This window comes from Homo sapiens, chromosome 1, assembly GCF_000001405.40.
Source record: "Homo sapiens chromosome 1, GRCh38.p14 Primary Assembly".
Lineage (NCBI taxonomy): Eukaryota > Metazoa > Chordata > Mammalia > Primates > Hominidae > Homo > Homo sapiens.
Window position 1 is genome coordinate 220,222,729 of NC_000001.11, and position 19,684 is coordinate 220,242,412.

General features: G+C 36.6%; 1 protein-coding gene across 1 annotated transcript in view; it reads right to left on the bottom strand.

Annotated features, from left to right (window-relative positions):
* The window catches only part of RAB3GAP2 (RAB3 GTPase activating non-catalytic protein subunit 2), a 124,161-nt gene that overhangs the window by 74,436 nt on the left and 30,041 nt on the right, over positions 1-19,684 (bottom strand). The window contains exon 2 of the mRNA NM_012414.4: positions 10,071-10,135. Coding sequence (NP_036546.2) covers positions 10,071-10,135 — 65 coding nt within the window. The remainder of the gene's footprint in view (positions 1-10,070; positions 10,136-19,684) is intronic.

The window sequence follows — 19,684 nt, forward strand, 5'->3', positions numbered from 1 at the left end:
ATGTTCTTTGTGCCCATTCATCTGCCCACTCAACCTTCTATTCATATAGTGCCAAAGAAAAACCCCCAAAAACCCCTTTATTTGTGTAGAGCCATGCAGAACCCCTGAAAGTTAATAATGATGATCATTTTTAGATGTTAGGGATGGGTTATTTTATTATTTTTATTTTTCTGTAATACTTGAATTTTCTATAATAAACATGTGTCAAATGTATTTTATTACTCATACAAAATTCATTTCATAAACAATTACAATGGAACTCCAAAACTAAATGTATACTTCTCTATTGCCTGAACAACTGTTTATTTGCTTTGTTTTGTTTTTGTTTTTTTGAGTCAGCGTCTCGCTCTGACGCCCAGGCTGGAGTGCAGTGCAATGGTGCAATCACAGCTCACTGCAGCCTCTACCTCCTGGGCTCAAGCAATCCTCCCACCTCAGCCCCTGAGTAGGTGGGACTATAGGCAGGCACATGTCACTTTGTCTGACCACAACTGTTTAATACTACATACTAAATCTAGGTGTCATGGAGTAAAAGAAAGTGACAAAAAAATTCCTGCTCAGAAACTATCATCTAGTTGGATAAACAATACTAGTAAATAAGAAATAACTCTCACTCAATATAAATCAGAATAGATTTAATAGCTAAAGTAAGTGCAATGAACCTTAAACTGCTATTGGAGTTTAGAAAAAAAATAAGATAATGGTATGCGTTCCCCAAAAGAATTATAAGTGAAAAACATATGAAAGAATGACAAACTTTACCCATTAATTTAAAATATAGATTAAAACACTGAAATGGCATTTTACGTTGATCTGGTTTAGCAAAGACTAAAGTATGATAACATACTAGGAGTCAACAATTTCAAATACCTGAGAACAGCAAGAGAAAAGCGCATTCATCTCTCACAGTCTTGTTTCCCAATACAATATTTGTTAAAAACATGGGTGGAGAGAAATATTTCACTTAAAAAAAAAAAACAATAGCACACAGCCAATGATAATAAGCAACTGGCTCAGAGCTGTTTTTATTTCTGTAAACAACAAGTAAAGAAAGGTACTCTCATACACTGCTATTTGGAATACAAATTGGCTAGCCCTTTAGAAGCACCATGCAACAATTTCTGTCAAAATGTAAAATCCAGCCTGGGCAACATGGTAAGACCCCATCTGTAAAAAAAAAAAAACTGAAAAATTAGAGGCCTGGGAGGTCGAGGCTGAAGTGAGCCATGATCGTGCCACTGCACTCCAACCTGGGTGACAAAGCAAGACCCTATCTCAAAAAAAAAAAAAAAAAAAAAAGAGGAAAATGTATATATCTTTTGAATTTATTCTGATGGAATAAGGCTAGCTAACATTTATTGAGCACTTACTATGCTCCAGGTACTATTCTAAGCATATATCATTTAATCCTCATGGCAATACTATGAGTTTGGTATTGTTATCAATATCACTTTAGAAATGAGGTAACTGAACTTAGAAAAGTTAAATAACTTGCCCAGGGTTTCATAATTAGTAAGTGGCAGAGTTGGGACAGAAATTCAGGCAGTCGGACTCTCAATTATGACACTATGTGCCAACATGAAACCAAAGATGAATGGCAGACATAAAGGTACTTATTGCAGCATTGCTCATTATAGGAAAAAAGAAAAGAAAAAGGGCAAAGGAAAACTAGATGCCCTTCAGCAGAAGCGTGATTAAATAAATCACAGTACAGCTATACAATAAAATAGTATTCCTTGAAAAGAATGAAATAATTTACATATATGGAAAAACCTCCAAATTACATTAAATAGAAAAAGCAAGGAGTAGAATAATGTGTAAAATTAAAGTCTATTTGGTCTCTAGGTAAACAGGGTAAATTAAACACATGAATTTTACTCTCAGTCTCCCTAGCACCAGTAAGAACAACAGTAAAAGAATTCTTTTTAAAGGCAAAACCAGTAAGGACAAAAAAACTTTCCTCCAAAAAACAAATGAACAAAATCAAGGAGAAAAGGCACAAAATGTGAGAGCTAGAAAACAAAGGAACAGGTGGTCACTGAGTTTACAGTTCCTAGAAAGCTAACTCCTAAACTGATGGAGAAGAAAGCTGAGAAGCTGCCCTAGTTGCATTGCAAAATCACCAGCAGCCTTAGGAATTGGCACCAGGTCCCCCTAGAAGTAAAGGTATGGATGGGGCTAAAAGCAGGAGGCTTGGTTGCAAGTGTGTTTAACCAGTAGTCAGGTCCCAGGCTCCCTTTCCCCACACCACCCAGCCAGATCCCTGGTAGAAGACCAGAGGCCCCAATCACCAAACCAAAACTCACTTAACAGAAGCTACTCTGCAGGAATGCCTAAGGAGCGCAGATTTGAACTAAAATTAACAGTTATAAACAAGAGAAAGGAAAAGGTGCAGCTGACTACATGGAGCTTAAGCATTTAGGCATAAATAATGCCACAGAGACCAAGCCTAGACAACTTGTTGCTCTGGCCAAAGATCCAAGAAGAACTTAAATTAACTTTTGTTTCCTGGCAATTACTTAGCTGCACTTTTCACAACAGCAAATCACTTCACCAAACTCTACTAAAATTAAATTAATGATCTTATAGATCAAATGCTCTGAAGGTCAAGAAGTTTTGGAGAACAAAATGGGGAAAAGGCAAAAAAGACAGACTGGGAGGGTTACATTAAGAGCCATGGGCTAAATAAACCAAGGTCTCTCAATATCAGCGCTATTGACATCTGGGGCCAGAAAATCCTTTGTTCTGTGCATTGAAAGATGCTTAGCAGAATTATTGGCCTCTACTCACTAGATGCACCCCCCTCAAGCTGTGAAAGCCAAAAATGTCTCTAGATGATGCCAAATCATTGCTAAATATCCACTGAGGAGGCAAAAATCACCCATGGTTGAGAATCACTAGGCTAGACTAAGCTTGTATTAATGTAGAGAGGAAGATCTTCAGCAAAATGAGTGTTTCTAACAATCCAAAGTCCAAAGTCCTAATAAGAAACAGCCTAATGAGGAGACCCTTGCCCAGCCTCAGAGGATAACCTAGGGCATATCCTTATGGTGTAAGTGTTCTTCTTCCGCCTCTGGTCAGTCTGATGCTCATGTCTCCTGTGTGGCAGGTGGCATGAGAGTCTACTGAAAATAATGAAATAAGGCAAAACATTTTCCAGTATCATCCCAGATTATTAATGTTCTAGGAATCTCCAATCAGGTCGTGCTATATTCCACTTCTCAGCCTGTAAACAAACAATTCTCTGGGGCCTCCATCTGACCAGCACCCTGTTAATCTGCTAAATCATAATTGCCTCTCTAAACTGTTATAACAGTTTCTGTAAAACAGATGGAGCACATTTCAAAGGCTCTTTTGAATGGAAATTTTCCATGCTGCCTACCTTAACTGAAGACCTTGACCCAGAACCTTCCTGTGATTCCTGATCCAGTAACCACTACCCATTTACCACCTATTAACCACTAGCTGTTTACTATTGAGCAAATCCCCAAGTCTATACTTCCTACCATTGGCCTTAATACACCAATGAAGGAAAGTCCATTAAATCAGTCTTGCCATGAAATTAAATTAAGCCTTTCAAGCTTCTTCCCAAACTGCCTCAATTCCCTTTACAGCATAAGGCTGAACAAAATATTCTCCTCTAATTACTTCTTTCTCATAGCAAAAAAATTGTAATACCAACTAAAAGCCTTTATAATACTCTTAAAAAAAAAAAAACCAGCAAAGCTATTTACTATTTGTTATAGGATCATCAGTCAGCAGATGGCATCTACCTTCTTTTCCAATGTCCCCAAGCCAGCCACTATCTTGTCATCATGTCACTTAAAATCAAGTTAGTATAGAGGAAGATCTTTGTTTTACCTTTTCTTCTATCCCAATCCATCTTTCTTCTATCCCAATCCATTTTAAAAGTTTGTTCTGCTTGCCTTTTCAGTCTCTTATTGTATTTACTTATAGGCAAGTTGAAATTCCTTAACCTTACTTTTGTCACTTGCCCAATTCAGTACACTTGCCAATGTACTGACTTGTGTCCCCTTGCCCCCACCCCAATTCATATGTTGATGCCTTAACCCTAAAGTGACTGTACTTGGTTGGACATAGGGCCTTTAAGGAGGTAATTTAGGTTAAATGCAAATGAGCTCATAAGAGTTGGATAGGACTGGTGTCCTCATAAGAGGAAGAGACACCAGAACTCACTCTTTCCCTCCCAGCATGTGTACATAGAAGAAAGGCCAAATGAGGACACAGCAAGAAAGCAGTTGTCTGCAAGCCAGGAAGAAAGGCCTCACCAGAAATCAGCCCCGATGGCACCTTGATCTTAGACTTCTAGTCTCCAGAACTGCGAAAAAATAAGTTTTTGTTGTTTAAGTCACCTAGCGTGTGGTACACTGTTATGGCAGCCTGAGCAGATGAATACAGACATGAAATAGCTATAGCAGAAAGATGTTGGTCTTCTGTCACAGAAACTATTTAAAGCTCCTAAGCCTACCAGTGTCATAGATGTACACTTCCTTGGACATAGTTGGCTACGGCCGATAGTGTATATTAAAATATGCTTTCTTCACTAAGCCATTATTATAGCTAACACCTATAAATCAGAATCAGAATCAACCTAGAGTCAGAAAAAAAGAGGCTTTCTCCTTTCCTAAAAAAGCCTTGTCCAGATCCCAGTACTGTCACTCTGAACATAAAAGTCATTTTCTGCCATAAAAATAAGAAACTACTCTCAAAGAGCTAACACACTCGTGGAGATAAAAAGCACTGTGGAGTTTTTAGTGTTTTTGCCGAACTCAGTAGCAGCCAGTTGGCCTCCATGTCAGCATTCTGTGGCAGTGGCTGCTGCTCCTTTCCTCTTTGCTTCCCCTCCTGTGGCTTATCTACACACTACTGCAGCACTCCTGAAGAGCAAAACACACCATCTCCGTAACACCCGACTAATGCAGAAGAAAAGTTTACCCTCTTCTGGTTATAATAACCTCAAACCAATGGCAACTGGTGGAGAATCCTATAATTGTTTTTTGTTTGTTTGTCTGTTTGTTTGGAGACAGAGTCTTACTCTGTTGCTCAGGCTGGAGTGCAGTGGTGTAATCTCGGCTCACTGCAACATCCGCCTCCCGGGTTCAAGCAGTTCTCCTCCCTTAGTCTCCAAAGTAGCTGGGATTACAGGCATGTGCCAACACACCTGGCCAATTTTTGTATTTTTAGTTAGAGACAGGGTTTTGCCACGTTGGCCAGACTGGTCTCGTACTCCTGACCTCAAGTGATCTGACCGCCTCAGCCTTCCAAAGTGCTGGGATTACAGGCGTGAGCCACCGCGCCTGGCCTCTATAATTGTTTTTATAATTATAACGCCTTGACACACTGTAAGTTGACTTCAAGACATTCCACTTCTTCCAAACCTGGTTCCTTCTTTAATGTGGATAAGACTCAGACTCTCAGAGGAGGTAGGTTTTGAGCTTGGTATCTGTTCCTAATAAGAGAGAGTAAAAGGTTCTCTTTCCACTCCTTTACATTCTAACTAGGCAACTAGAGCATATACTTTTACATTTCACACATCTGCCAAAATTTATTCTAATTCTTGCCTCTGGAGCTGGTTATAGTTCTGGAGTTGTTCATAATCATAGATGGTAGTAGAAATAAGAGTCTCTTACTTCAGCTGAGTAGATTTCTAATAGTCCTGGTATAAAACATTTTGCTCAGCAAAACTTCATAATAGTGCTATATATGGAAAGTTCTGGTTGATGCTGCTGTTCAAGGGAGAGGTCACAGTCCTTACCCTGACCATAGTGCCGTTTTTGTTCCCACCCACCAGTCTCCTTTAGCAAAGATGTCTTTTAAGGAAAGGATCCAAATTCAAAGAGGCTCTCTTGAACAACCAGGATAACTTGAACAACTAGATAACCTCTGAACTTCATTGTACCTGCCTACCTTTACTGTCACCCAAATGCATTCTCCCTCACCATGTACACATGACCCATGACAAGGTACAGGGGTTCAAAAATGGATAATAAGAACAGCTAGAAATAATTGGTACACCCAAAATGGTTGTGAATGAGGTCTATCAACAATTTTCACTTGCTGTGTTTGTCAAGTCACAGTATGAGCAAATCTATCAAGACAAAGAACACCAAGCTACTCTCATCCATTAGGGCCATTTGTAAATATTCCGATTTTATCCAAATGAAGAAATGTTCTACATGTCAGTATTTTTATGTGTTTTTAGAATGAGTAGAAGCATCTTTCAGCTTTTAACTACATTGTTTAAAAGATCCTTACATTTATCCCTGGAGATCCCTCGATTTAGGTTATCCCTAGATTTAGTATATCCTTGCTGAAAAAAGAAGACATGCTTTACAGGTCAGATATAAAGGAAATGTGTTAACACTTATGCATTCTAACTATGCTATCATTGTCCACGTCACTCAGAATCAGCTGCAATAGTGGCACATCAAAATGAAATACTGCAAAATAAAGAGGCACACGACCCTCATGAGTATGAGAAATACAGCTAATTAAGAAGAAAATAAAAGAATAATATAGCTAATTAAGAAAAAAATACAAGGAAAACTAACTGCATCTATTCCACAGAGCAGCCAAGGTGAGCTTGAAAAACCAGAAATCAGATAATGTGGTTTCTGATCATGTTTAGAATAAATTCCAAATTTATAAAGCCTTATATCAGGCCTACTTGCTTCTCTGACCCCATTGCATAGCACATTTTCCTTCTTTTCTACTCATTAGGTTATAATGCCATAAAGCGGCACACCCTTAGGAAGGCACATTTTAGATGAGCCAAAAAGCAAGTCTGTGGCACATTATGACTAAACTAACCCAATTAATACTATCAGGGAAGAATTAGTAGATATCTTTAAGGACAACTTGCCTCACACACAAATGCCTAACTATGTCATTCACAAATATTAACAAAAATCCATTACAGAAAAAGCCAAGTATGTATCAGTGGGCTCATTAAGATGTGGCCATCTGGGTCTGAAATATTATACTATAGCTCAGCACCAGCACTATTCTATATATGTAATAATAACTGTCACACTGGAACCTCTTCTGAAATTATAAATGCATGTGTCCACTTTAGTATGCAATGCCTGTGAGGTTTATTCCAGAAAACCTCAAACTTACTTGGAAGTCTCTTACGTTATTCATAGTGGTAACTTAGCTACATGATTTCAGAAAGCAAATACTAAAAGTCTACCAAATAGCACATGTAAGGTAAGTGCCATTTACACTATCTCTTTCTGGGAAATTCTCCAAGCACATCCCTTTCTGAAAGGTTACTTTCCTAGAATCATGAAGAATCTCCAAGCTTGTTTACACAAACCCCCTCCTTTCCTTCCCTCCCCTCCTCATTCTTGCCATAGCGAATTAAACTGCTGATGAATGCCTGACCAGGAGGCAGCAATAATATAGCTGCTGATGTCCCATGAAGTGGCCTGGTGTAAACAGTATGTCCCCCTCCCCAAATATCCTATATTAGGTTGTAATCCACAGACTCAGTAAAATCTTCACATGAGCTCTGAATGTGAAACAAAGAAGGAGAAATAATCTAAGACAACCACAAACAAGAGACATAGCAAAAGCCATGCAATAGTTTAAATCCGGAGTAAGCAGCAACCAGTCAGTCTTAGGAAAAGCAGAATAGCTGAGGCTCCATTTTGACATAGCATTAGAAAGAGGACCAGGTGTTGTTCGCGGAGGTGCTGCAGTAACCAAATTCCCTGAGCTGCATTTTATCCTATTCAACACATCCTAATTCTCCTAGAGGTCTTCTGAAATGGTTTCCTGTTCTTAATCTCCTCATGGAGTTTTTCCATACATCTCTATTACATGAGCATATCTCTACTTCTTAGCACATGATGCTCTCTGATTTCTCTGCCAAAGCTGTTCTTTTCCTCATCCTCCCCAACTGGGTATGACACAACATCCCTCCAGTTATTCAAGCCAAATATCTGGCAGGGTTTTTTAAAAACTTCTTATTATGGATATTTAAAAATATTAACAAAAGTAAAGAGAATGGCATCTATTACTCACCTTTTGAGAATATCAACCTTTCAACAATCGTGTTTTATCTATTTCACACCACACCCCAGATCAAAGAATTTATTATTGATTTATCACCTTCCTCTCATCCTTCATAACCAGCTCACTGGAAAGTCTTATCATTACCTCTGAAAATTATCCAGAATTCATCCATTTCTCATCTTCACTAATACCACCTTAATCAAAGCCACAATCATCTCTCAACTAAGCTACTGCAACAGCCTTGTAATTGGTCTTCCTGCTTCTACTTTTGCTCCCTACTTCAACCTATTCCATAGAGCAGCCAAGGTGAGCTGTCAAAGTCAGAAATCAGGTAAGTGTGGTTTTCCATTGCATTTAGAATAAACACCAAATTCACAAAGCTTGACATCTGGCCTGCTTTCTTCTCTGCCCCATCTTGGAACAGTCTCAGTCCTGCTACATCACACTGGCCTTCTTTATGTCCCTTCAAACTCTCAAGCCCATTCCTGCCTTGAGACTTTGCATGAGCTGCTGCCCTGGCCTAGAATCCTGTCAGATTCTCATGTTGTTGACTCCCTGTTGCCTTTTAGATCTCAGTTTAACTGTCACAGCCTCTGAAAAAACTTCCTTAACCACCCAATCTATAGCAGTCACTTGCTATCACATTACCATTTGAATTATTTTTCATCCATCTTTCTTTTTTATGTCTCCCTCTCATAGAGTGTAAGCTCCCAGAAATAGGACTGTAAGAAGACCTATCTAATATTCATTCTTCTTTCTTAAAAAAAAAATCCTGATTTTGTTCAGGTATCAACTCCTTCCGTGTGGCCATGGGCCTCAGGAGAAGCTGACCCTCTTATCCTCTAACTCCAGGGAATAATATGATTCAACAATGAATATCTCATATCCCTTGCCAGTGATTAGTTCAGAAATGAGCATGTGGCCCAATCCTGGCCAAGAAGACATAAGGAAAAGTTTGCTAGAGACGTCTAAGAAAGTAGCTCCCTAACTCCTGAAAGAGTCATGAAAAGCCCAAGTCTTTTTCTCCCTCTACCCATTAATGAAGAAACATGTTGTCCACACTACATCTGTGAATGAAACAGGCATTAGGATGAAGCCAACACTGCATATACAAAGTAGACAGAATGAAATAACTTGACATATTTGAATTGCCTGATCAACCAACCCAGGATTCCATTCTATCTTTGGACTTCCTTCTATGTAAGCGAATAAATTTTCTTCATATTTAAGCCAATTAAAGTTAGATTTTTTTATTACTCATATGTGAAAATATACTAACATATATAGGAACTTTGTCTGCCTTGTTCCTTGCTATACTCCCAGCATCTAGAAAAATGCGTAGAATATGGTAGGTACAGCAAATATTTGAGTGAATAGTGAAAGAATATAAAAGAATAATTTATGAAAGATAAAGAATCCTAAAACAATTATTCTCCATTTAGCCCACTGCTATGGTTTGAATGTGCCCCCAAAAAACATGTGTTGAAAGTTTAATCCCCAATGCAACAGTGTTGGGAAATGGGGCCTAATGAGAGGTAATTAGGTCATGAGAGCAGAGTGAATAGATTAAGGACGTTAATGAGGGAGTAGGTTCCTTATTGTGGGAGTGAATTTGTTATAAAAAGAGGAGTATTGGCCCATGTTTTCTTCCCTCCCACCCTCTCCACCAGCCTCTGGTCCTATCACCTTCACCGTATTATGATGCAGCAAGAAGGCTCTTGCCAGATGCTGGCCCCTGATCCTGGACTTCCCAACATCCAGAACTGTGAGCCAATCAATTTCTGTTCATTATGAACTACCCAGTCTCAGGTATTCTGTTATAGCAACACCAAGTGAACGAAGACACCCGCTTTAGCTACAATGTCATTAAGTTCCTTAAGAAGAGGTATCTAGTTAAGTACTAATAAGTAAGCACAAAAATATTCTTGACATCGAATTTAAAATGTCAGCTTGACAGGGAAATATGTCACCATCATTACAAAAGGAAAATGCCACTATCAAAAAACATGCATATATTTGTAAAGACTTACAGGTTCTTGTGGTTCATTTTCTTCCCATGCTCCCCAACCATCATCTTCCCAGTCTGTTGATTTACCTGTTTTTAAAAAGATGAACAATGCTTGCATGAAATATAGGGCTTTAAATATCTTTAAAGCATTTTTTCTAAACATCATAGAACCAACCCCTGTATAATGCTGATATTAAGAAAGAAAATAAGGGTAAACTGTGTTATACCAGGATTTTGCTATATGTAATAACAATCAGAAAATATTTGACCTACTGAATTTCTAAATTTATATATTAGCAAAATTGTGTGCAAGTTATTAGTGAAATTGTGTGTGAGTTATCTGGATCTTAAGATATTGGACATCAAGTTAATTCACATTCAAATCAAGCTGCAAAGGTGACGTTTTAAAAATCTAAAAATGACAAATGTTTATTACTCAAGATACTGGACAAATATACACGGTGATAAAAAAAACACCTAAAATTTCACAGATGTCTTAAAAAAGTAACTTGCTTTTTGATAAGACTAATCATCAATGGAAAATAAAACTGAATTTTGAAACAAGACAAACCTACTATTCTGCACCCTTTTCTGATATTCTGTGATTTCTTATATGTTGGATCGTCCTCTCAGAGGAAAATAAGACGGTCAACAACAATGCAACAAGGAATGTAAAAGCCCAGATAGGTTTGGACAGTATGTTCCCTTACAAGGTCCAGGTGACTGGTTTTTACATAGTCATCTTTTAATTTATCAGAAGAGAAAAAGCTATCATTTTTGAACAACTACTCTGAGACAAGCATGAGATACTTTGTATGCATTAATAAAGTACAAATAAAACTTTAGGCCCCAGAATCACGCTGCCTAAGTTTTATTTGAACTTTATCATCTTTAAAAATTTAATTTGAGGCAATACATATAAAGTGTATGTGTTTTTTTTTTGAGATGGAGTCTCACTCTGCTGTCCAGGCTAGAGTACAATAGCGCAATCTTGGCTCACTGCAACCTCTGCCTCCCGCGTTCAAGCCATTCTCCTGCCTCAGTCTCTGGAGTAGCTGGGACTACAGGCACCTGCCACCACGCCCGGCTGATTTTTGTATTTTTATTAGAGACAGGGTTTCACCATATTGGCCAGGCTGGTCTTGAACTCCTGACCTCAAGTGATCCACCCACCTTGGCCTCCCAAAGTGTTGGGATTACAGGCGTGGATCACCACGCCCGGCCTTGAGGTAATACATATAAAGTATTGAATGCTTGTTCAAATCCTGATCTAGCACTTACTGTCTCTGTGACCTAGTGCAAATTACCCATCTAAACTTTAGTTTTTAATCATAAAGGCATGGAAAACATGACTACCTCTATCTGGTAGGGTTGTTGTAAGGACTTACACCAGATAGCATACTAAAGTCCTCAGTGCCTGACACATACCAAGTTCTCAATGCTGGTCAAGGTTTAGCTAAATAAAATATTATATTTAAGCAATCAGCTTTAAAATTCTGGGGGGAAAACAATTTAAAAGATGGGACTGATCCTGATGGCTTACAGCAGGAAGCAAATAGATTCACTTATATACGAGGTTTTAAAGGTTGCTGAAATCAATTACATACAGATGATTAAAGAATTTGTTATAGTCTAGTACTTGGAGTCATTGTTCAATTAGCTTTGTAGTAACAGTCTAATCTTCTGTACTTAAATGCCAAATAATTACTTCCTAATAGGTATATATTAAGTCCTAAAATAGCACTATCATTTGATTAACATTGCACAATTTATAGAAGAGTTCCATATACAAGTCAATTAGCAATTTAACAAATACTCTATTAAACACCATGTGGCAAATCCTGTAGTAGGAGCTGAGAAAAGTACAAACATACTCCTTGCCCTTGAAGAATTCATGATCTACTGTAGAAGGCAGACAAACATGGAACCATAATATATGGTGAGTGCAGTAATGGACTACTAATGGGAACTTGGATGAGAAAGTAAGAGATGGGGAAAAAAATACAATGAATAGTTAACTTAAACTCAGTCCTTAAAAAGTAGCTAGAAAGGCTAGGGGAAAAAGTCAACATGAATGAAAGAGGCAGAAAGATGCAATGTATATGACGACTAACATGTATTAAACATTTCTGTATGCCTAAATGCTTTATAGACATTATTAGTTCATTTAAACATCACAGGATCCTTTATTGTCCCTATTTTACAATGAGAAAACAGATTTCTTGGAGAGTTTAAGTAGTTCGACCAAAATCACACAGGAGTAAGTGGCAGAGTACAGTGTGAGTTCAGGTCTGAGTTCCAAAACCCATGCTCCTAAGTATTAGACTACATGTACTCCTACTATGCCTCATGAAGGGTAAGATTAGGGAAAAGTGGAGTTTACAGTTAAGGCCAAAAGTAAGAAGGTTCTTATTTAAAAATAGAAACATTCCCTTGATATTGCAATTTAGAGATATTTTTAACTTGGAAAATTAGCTTGTTTTTTGGCGATTTAATTCAATTAAGCAATCTCTTTATTTTGCTAATTTTTCCATTGCACCAGAAACAATTGTCTTATTGTGAGTTTAAGGCAGGCAACAAGGCTATCCCATTTAAAGTTTCAGAATATGTATTATCTCTTACATTAGAAAGCAAAGAATCTAAAAGAGCTTATTACTATAAAGTTCATGATTCAATTTTTAAATTGCTATAAAAATAATGTATATATCAAATTACCACAATCTCGAAAAGACCATGCAGAATTTAGACTCTTCAGGAAGGCTGTAATCATTCATGCATTCAACAAACACATCTTTTATGTTCTGGGAACTGTGCTAAGTGCTGGAAATATAAAAGCAAATAAGCCTTCAAAGAGCTTAGTTTGTGTACATAACCTCTGTTGAATGTGTATAAAATAAACTATAAAAAGTGTGTTATTTCTCCTCCATATTGGTATAAAAAGTACCTGACTCAATTCACAAATGACTCATATAAGCAAATAGAAGACAGCAGTAATTTGGATTTCCTACCCCTGCAGAGACCCAGTATCTCTCTATGCCACAATTCAGAACCTCCAAGAAAAGAAAGACCTTGAGAAATACTTTATACAAGATATTTAGGTTTATGAAGGTTTACCCATTCTCAATGCCCCTGACTGGAAAGCTTCTTTCAACAAAAAGGAAAGAGAATTTAATTGGGCATCTTCTATTATCATAGGAATACATTTTTCCCAACCAAGTCAAGATAAAGGAAGGTGAAACAGCACTATTATTCAGCTAAGTTTAAGATATTTTTTGTAGGTTGCTCTAGAAGACTAAGCCTATTTATAATACTATGAGAGAATGCATTCCAAATTATAGTCACCTTAAAAATGGGAAATGTTTTGCCAGTGGGGCAATACCCTTGTGGCTATTTATTTTTATTTTTTATTTATTTATTTTGACATGGAGTCTTGTTCTGTCACCAGGCTGGAGTGCAGTGGTGCCATCTCGGTTCACTGCAACCTCCAACTCCCTGGTTCAAGCGAGTCTCCTGCCTCAGCTTCCCGAATAGCTGGGATTACAGACATGTGCCACCACACCCAGCTAATTTTTGTATTTGTAGTAGAGACGGGGGTTTCACCATGTTGGCCAGGATGGTCTCAAACTCCTGAACTCGTGATCCGCCCACCTCGGCCTCCCAAAGTGCTGGGATTATAGGCATGAGACACTGCGCTCCGCCCCTTGTGGCTATTTCTACTCAGTGCCAGTGATTTAATTTTTGTGGCCTCCTATGTCCTATTGAAAATCATTTGAGAATATTTGCAAGGAGGTAGTGGACAGCAATTTTCAGCTATTAAAAAGTGTTAGAAACCCAGCACTTTACCAAAGTTATTTCTTACGCCTTCAGGTTAGGCAAGCAGGTCAAGCACATTCTTTAGAAAAAAAAAAAAAGGTATATATTGAGAAAATAGCTGATGAATGTCTAATAAAATTGCCATTCATGTAAAGAATTCTGTTCAGGCACGGTACTTCCTTCTGGTAACCTTTCCAAGAAGGATGGTATTCTTTAATCAATATCATTAGTATTTTTTAATTGATCATTGGTCAAGAATGTAGGTAGCCAAAGCAATGTTCAACATAACTTTGAGAACTATGTACTGTTTTAGGTTAATATGGAATATTACTATAAGGCCTTGAGGTTCACAAACTCTACGTCATCATGAAGAAATAAGACTGATTTGCCTAATTTATTATCAATTACTTCCAAAAAAGCTAAAAATGGCTCACCATGATTGTTTCTTAGAAGAATAAATAGATCAATATCTTTTATAAGACAGGGTAATTTGAAAGCCCTAAGCTCTGGTATAACTTAAAAAGGCAAATCAATTTAACAAAAGGTATCATGGAATTAAGGACACCAGGACAGCCAACTTCTTTAGGACAGTCTAGATCCAGTGTAAAGATTCCAAACATTCCACCAATCACCAAATCCCATAGCCAGAGCTATGTGGCTCTCATTTCCGTGAAAGACTAGACTACAAATTATACGGCAATTTAAACAGTTACTTTCCCTATTTATTAAATAAGTAGCAACCACCCAATCTCCAAAAAGCAATTCTGTAAATGACACTGTTATCAACTGCCTATGTCTTTCGTTTTACTGTAGTCCAATCTAACAAAATTGGTCAGAAAATTAAGAAAACAGCATTCACATTAATTGTCTTCATAAAACCAGCGTTATAGTTTCTCCTGCAGATCCCCCCTTGATGGGTAGGCCTTAAAACCTTTACAATGAAGAAATTAAAATAATGAGTTAGGGATGACTGAAGTTTTAGAGATGGCTCTACTCTCAGAGATTCTGTTTCAGGAGGTCTGCAATGGATACAGGAATCTCTATTTAACAACTTTTCCCACCCTAAAAATTTGAGGCAGATGGTGCATGCATGGATCACCTAAAGGATAAACCTAAGTGCTGGTCTAATTTAATCCTAAATATTGTTTTCCTTTGCCTGTCATCACTCTTCTATTCTTTCACTCCAGTTGGACTGTTCATTCACTGGTATGCAATCTTGAAGAGCACTGTCTAATAGAAATATATCATGAGCTACCTATGTAATTTTAAATTAACTAATAGCCATATTAAAAAGTAAAAAAAAAAAAAACAACAGGTGAAATTAACCTTAATAATATAGTTGATCAGAATACAACCAGAATATTGTTTCAATGCATAATCAATGCAAAATTATTGGTGAGATATTTTACATTCATTTTTCATATATACTCTTCAAAATCTGATGAGTGTTTTTTTAGTTTAGTTTAGTTTTGAGAAGGGGTCTCTCTGTCACCCAGATTGGAGTGCAGTGGTGCAATTATAGCTCACTGCAGCCTCGATCTCCTAGGCTCAAGTGATCCTCCCACCTTGGCCTCCCAAGTAGCTGGGACTACAGGTGTGCATCACCAAGCCTGGCTAATTTTTTTTCTCTTTTTTTGTAGAGATGAAGCCTTGCCATTTTGCCCAGGCTGGTGATGTGTGTTTTACATGTAGAGCACATCTCAGTTTTTCCTAGTCACATTCCAAGTGCTCAAAACTACATGTGGCTAGTGGCTACAGTATAAGACAGCTCAAGTCTAGAACATCAACTCAATCTCAGGTTTAACTGAGTTGTCAGGTTGCACTGGATTGGTTGCCCAGTTTTACCTTCTAAAGAGTTATATGATCTTGGGCAATTTATTTAATTTCTTACTGCCTCGGCTTCCTCTTCAGCAAAAATGGAGTTAAAAACTGCACCTATCTCACAGAGTTGTTATAGTTAAAATATGCAAAGCACTTTTACAGTGCCTGGCACATAGACACCCTTAATAGCTGTTATAATTACCACTCTCCAAATACAACATTCTCTCTTACTCTCTGCCTTTGCCTATCCTACACCCATTAACTAAATGCCTCCTAAGTGACTCTACCTCTCCAAATCCAACTTCTCCAAACTAAGGTTAATCCTTTATGAAGTTTTCTTGCATCCACCAATGATCTTTCCCTCTTGTGAAACTACAGCATTTGACTGTGTTTCTTATTCAGAACTTAATTATATACTGTTTTGGGTCATTTGCTGCATTGTTAGTTAACATGTACTTATCTAACATAAATGTACACCCTGTCTACACAACTATTAGGCTCTTACAGGGCAGAGAACGTGTATCCTGTGTATGTGCACACACATACACATACATAAAAGTATCATAAGTACTTAATAAATATTTGCTAAACGAATAGTAATTGAAAATGACATTCTTACTCAAATCCTTCCGCATATACCCCCATAAAAGCAGCTGTATTTAAATTAATATTTTATAATATAATGAACAAATCAGTGGTTGTTTCTAAACCTTTTGCATTTCAAAAGAAATACAACAAATACAAAAGATTATGTTTTATAAACTTTATATATACAGACTTATATTCAGGATCCAAACCATCTTTTTCAAACAACTTTTTTTTTGTGGGGCTCAGGGGAGGGACAAGGTCTAGCTCTATTGCCCAGGGTGGACTGCAATGATGTGATCCTGGCCCACTGCAGGCTCTATCTCCCAGGCGCAAGCAGTTCTCTTACCTCAGCCTCCCAAGTAGCTGGGACTACAGGCATATGCCACCATGTCCGGCAAATTTTTGTATTTTTTGCAGAGTCGGGGTTTCACCATGTTGACCAGGTTGGTCTTGAACTTGTAAGCTCAAGCGAACTGCCCATCTCTGCCTCCCAAAGTGCTGGGATTACAGACATGAGCCACTGCACCCGGCCTTCAAATAACTTTTGTATGTAACATTACAATATTAATAATTTTTTTCTATTCCATCCCATTTTAATTAGTGAGAAAAAATAATTAAAAAGCACAATTTCTTAGCTTTAGTTTTGATTATGAAATAATAGGAATAGTATAGTATTTTGTTTGAATTCAAGTCTAAGAGGCAGAATTTGATTAAACCTGAAGATCTTCTAAAAACCTAGTTCAGAGTAGATGGCTTGATATGCATTAAAGGATTTTTATATTTCACACACACACGTGCACACACAATGTATTTTTCAACATTTCAGAACAAAATTTGTATCATTACTAACAAAACATCCTACATCAATAATGGAAAACCAATTTGCTCAATTACATGGGACTTTCAACAACCTGATTTCATGGTAGGGATAGAAGAAATAATTATAAAAGCCATTGAGTTCCCAAATAAACACCATGCCATTTTGAAGATTAAAAAAAAAAAAAAAAAAGAACACCACATCATTCTTGTGTCTGTAGTCTATTATGCAAATATTCTTTTTGCCAACAGTGACTAAAACAGGTTACACTAAAAACAGTTCAAGAATAGCAAATATTGCTTACTGGAGAAATCTAAAAATAGATGATGAGAATGCTTCTCAGGTCTTGTTACTTTCATGCTACGATTCACATCCATAGGAGACGTTTAGGAGATGTTGTTCCTAAAGTGGCCATGTTACAACTGTATTACATCAGGACAGCGTTCCAGCAATAAGGAAAATATTTCAGATTCATGTTTGTAACTGAGCTTTCTCAGCTCATTTGTTGTACAATTTGATAAAATAGCATTTCTGGGAATATAAGATATTTCTACTTTGTTTTAAATCTTTAATCTTTTTTTTCCTCAATCCCTTCTTAAGGGGTGAACTTCCTTTAAAATTTATTCTGTTTACATTCTTATCCATTTTTTTCCTTAAAATTCACAGAAAATCAAAGATTGCATTAAAGATTTCATTTGGGTCTTTCAAGAAATTTGTCATCTTAAAATATTTTGTTTGTCCACCTCAGTTGCTGAAATTTTCTTTCACTCTGGTTTATACCACATCTTGAATCATACCCTTTCTCTAAATAAGATTAATAAGCTGATCTCCAACCAACTTACATGATATGAAGAGAAATAAAGAGGAGCGAGATAAAGTTACAAATAATAGTAACAAAAAAGCAACTGCATCCTCATTGATTAGTAACCTGACTTTTCAATCTTTAACTTTTTTTTTATACCTATCACTGAACAGGACTATTTGAACTATTAATATCTAGAATAATCGGTAACATAACCATAAACTCCTGTTCTTACCCTCACCAAGTTAAATGTTTTGACTGAATAAATAAAACCAATGACTTCAAAATGTAAAATGTAACCACAATTCCCTTCTGAAGAGAATTTTTTCCTTGAAGAGATTAGATTTTACTAGTATGAAAAACCTGTTATGTCTCTCATTTGATAAATGAAACCTTCAAACCATACAGAAAACATATTTTAATCAATCATCAAAAAAATTATAGATGTCTTGTTTAGGGGTATTTCCATTCAATGAATTATTCTAACAACAGAAGCTTAAATAAGAAATTCAACTTCTGCTTTCCACAGCTCTATTTAATTCCCAAAATACATTATCCTAATTTGCTTCTGAACAGTCTGTCCTCATAAACTGAGTGTATGTTTTTTTTCATTTAACAAGAACCTGAAGCTAGAAAGGAAATTGAATTCTAGAAGTGGGCAATTGATTTGACAGTATTTGCTTTTTCCAATATGAGTATGTCAAGTTCAAATACTAAATGAGAAACTGAAAACATTAAATGTTAGGAAAAGGAAAATTTAATTTAGTTTCTGTGGTCTAATAAAAGATCTTAGTACAGAAGTAAATTCATTTCCGTTCTTCTGAGATGAGAAAAAAACAGAGATAATGTACTTGCTTCTATAAAAAGTAAGAACCTCTACAACCTATGACTTGTAAATAATTTAGGGGATTCAGCAAATTTTACTTGGCTCTACTTGGCCAAGGCAAGAAAAGCATCACCCAGCAGTACAAAGCTAAAAGACAAAAGAAAAGTCTAAAGAATAGAGAAGCTGCCTCTTATATTCCTATACATCGGAATTATTAATTTTTTCCATCTCTAGGGAAATGGAAAATAGGAAAATAAATTTCATATTAGCATGAAATTTCATATTAGCAAGAAATACTAATTTGAAAATAAATTTCATATTAGTCACTTAGTCACTTACCAAAGGGTTATATTACAAACATTAAAAATGTACATGTCTATTATAATTCTGTTTTTTTAACAACTTCATATTTATATATTATTTATTTTTTATATCCAAAACAACAGAAAAAGTTAAGCATGTCTAAAAAGGTGAAGAAGGCTGCAACATTATGAAATGTAGGTAAAGGTATGCAAAAATTGCTAACTAAAGGTAATTTCTGCATGTTCTAGAGAAACCAATTCTATATTTTCCTTCCTTAACCTACTCTACTATTTGAGTACTGTCCCTGAGAAATCTCCTTATATTTAAATTAAATCCTTCCTAAACCAGCCTAATTTTGCTATTACTGTTTTTCTTCAAAGTACACACAGAGAAAGTCTGATAATAATTTTAACAATATCACATGATAACATGGAATATTTTGGTTCCATAGTAAAGAAAAAATTGTAGATAGCATATTTATCATTGTTTTATTTCATAGTTAGCATTCCTAAAACAAGGACAAACATCCAACTCAGACACAATCCAACACACAATAGACATTTGTTCGTTATTAAGTTCCTACTACAAATCATCTGTGTACCAATGCTGGGGATATAAGAAATATATTACTCATTCCCTGGCCTAAAGTGGTGTATAATTTAGTGC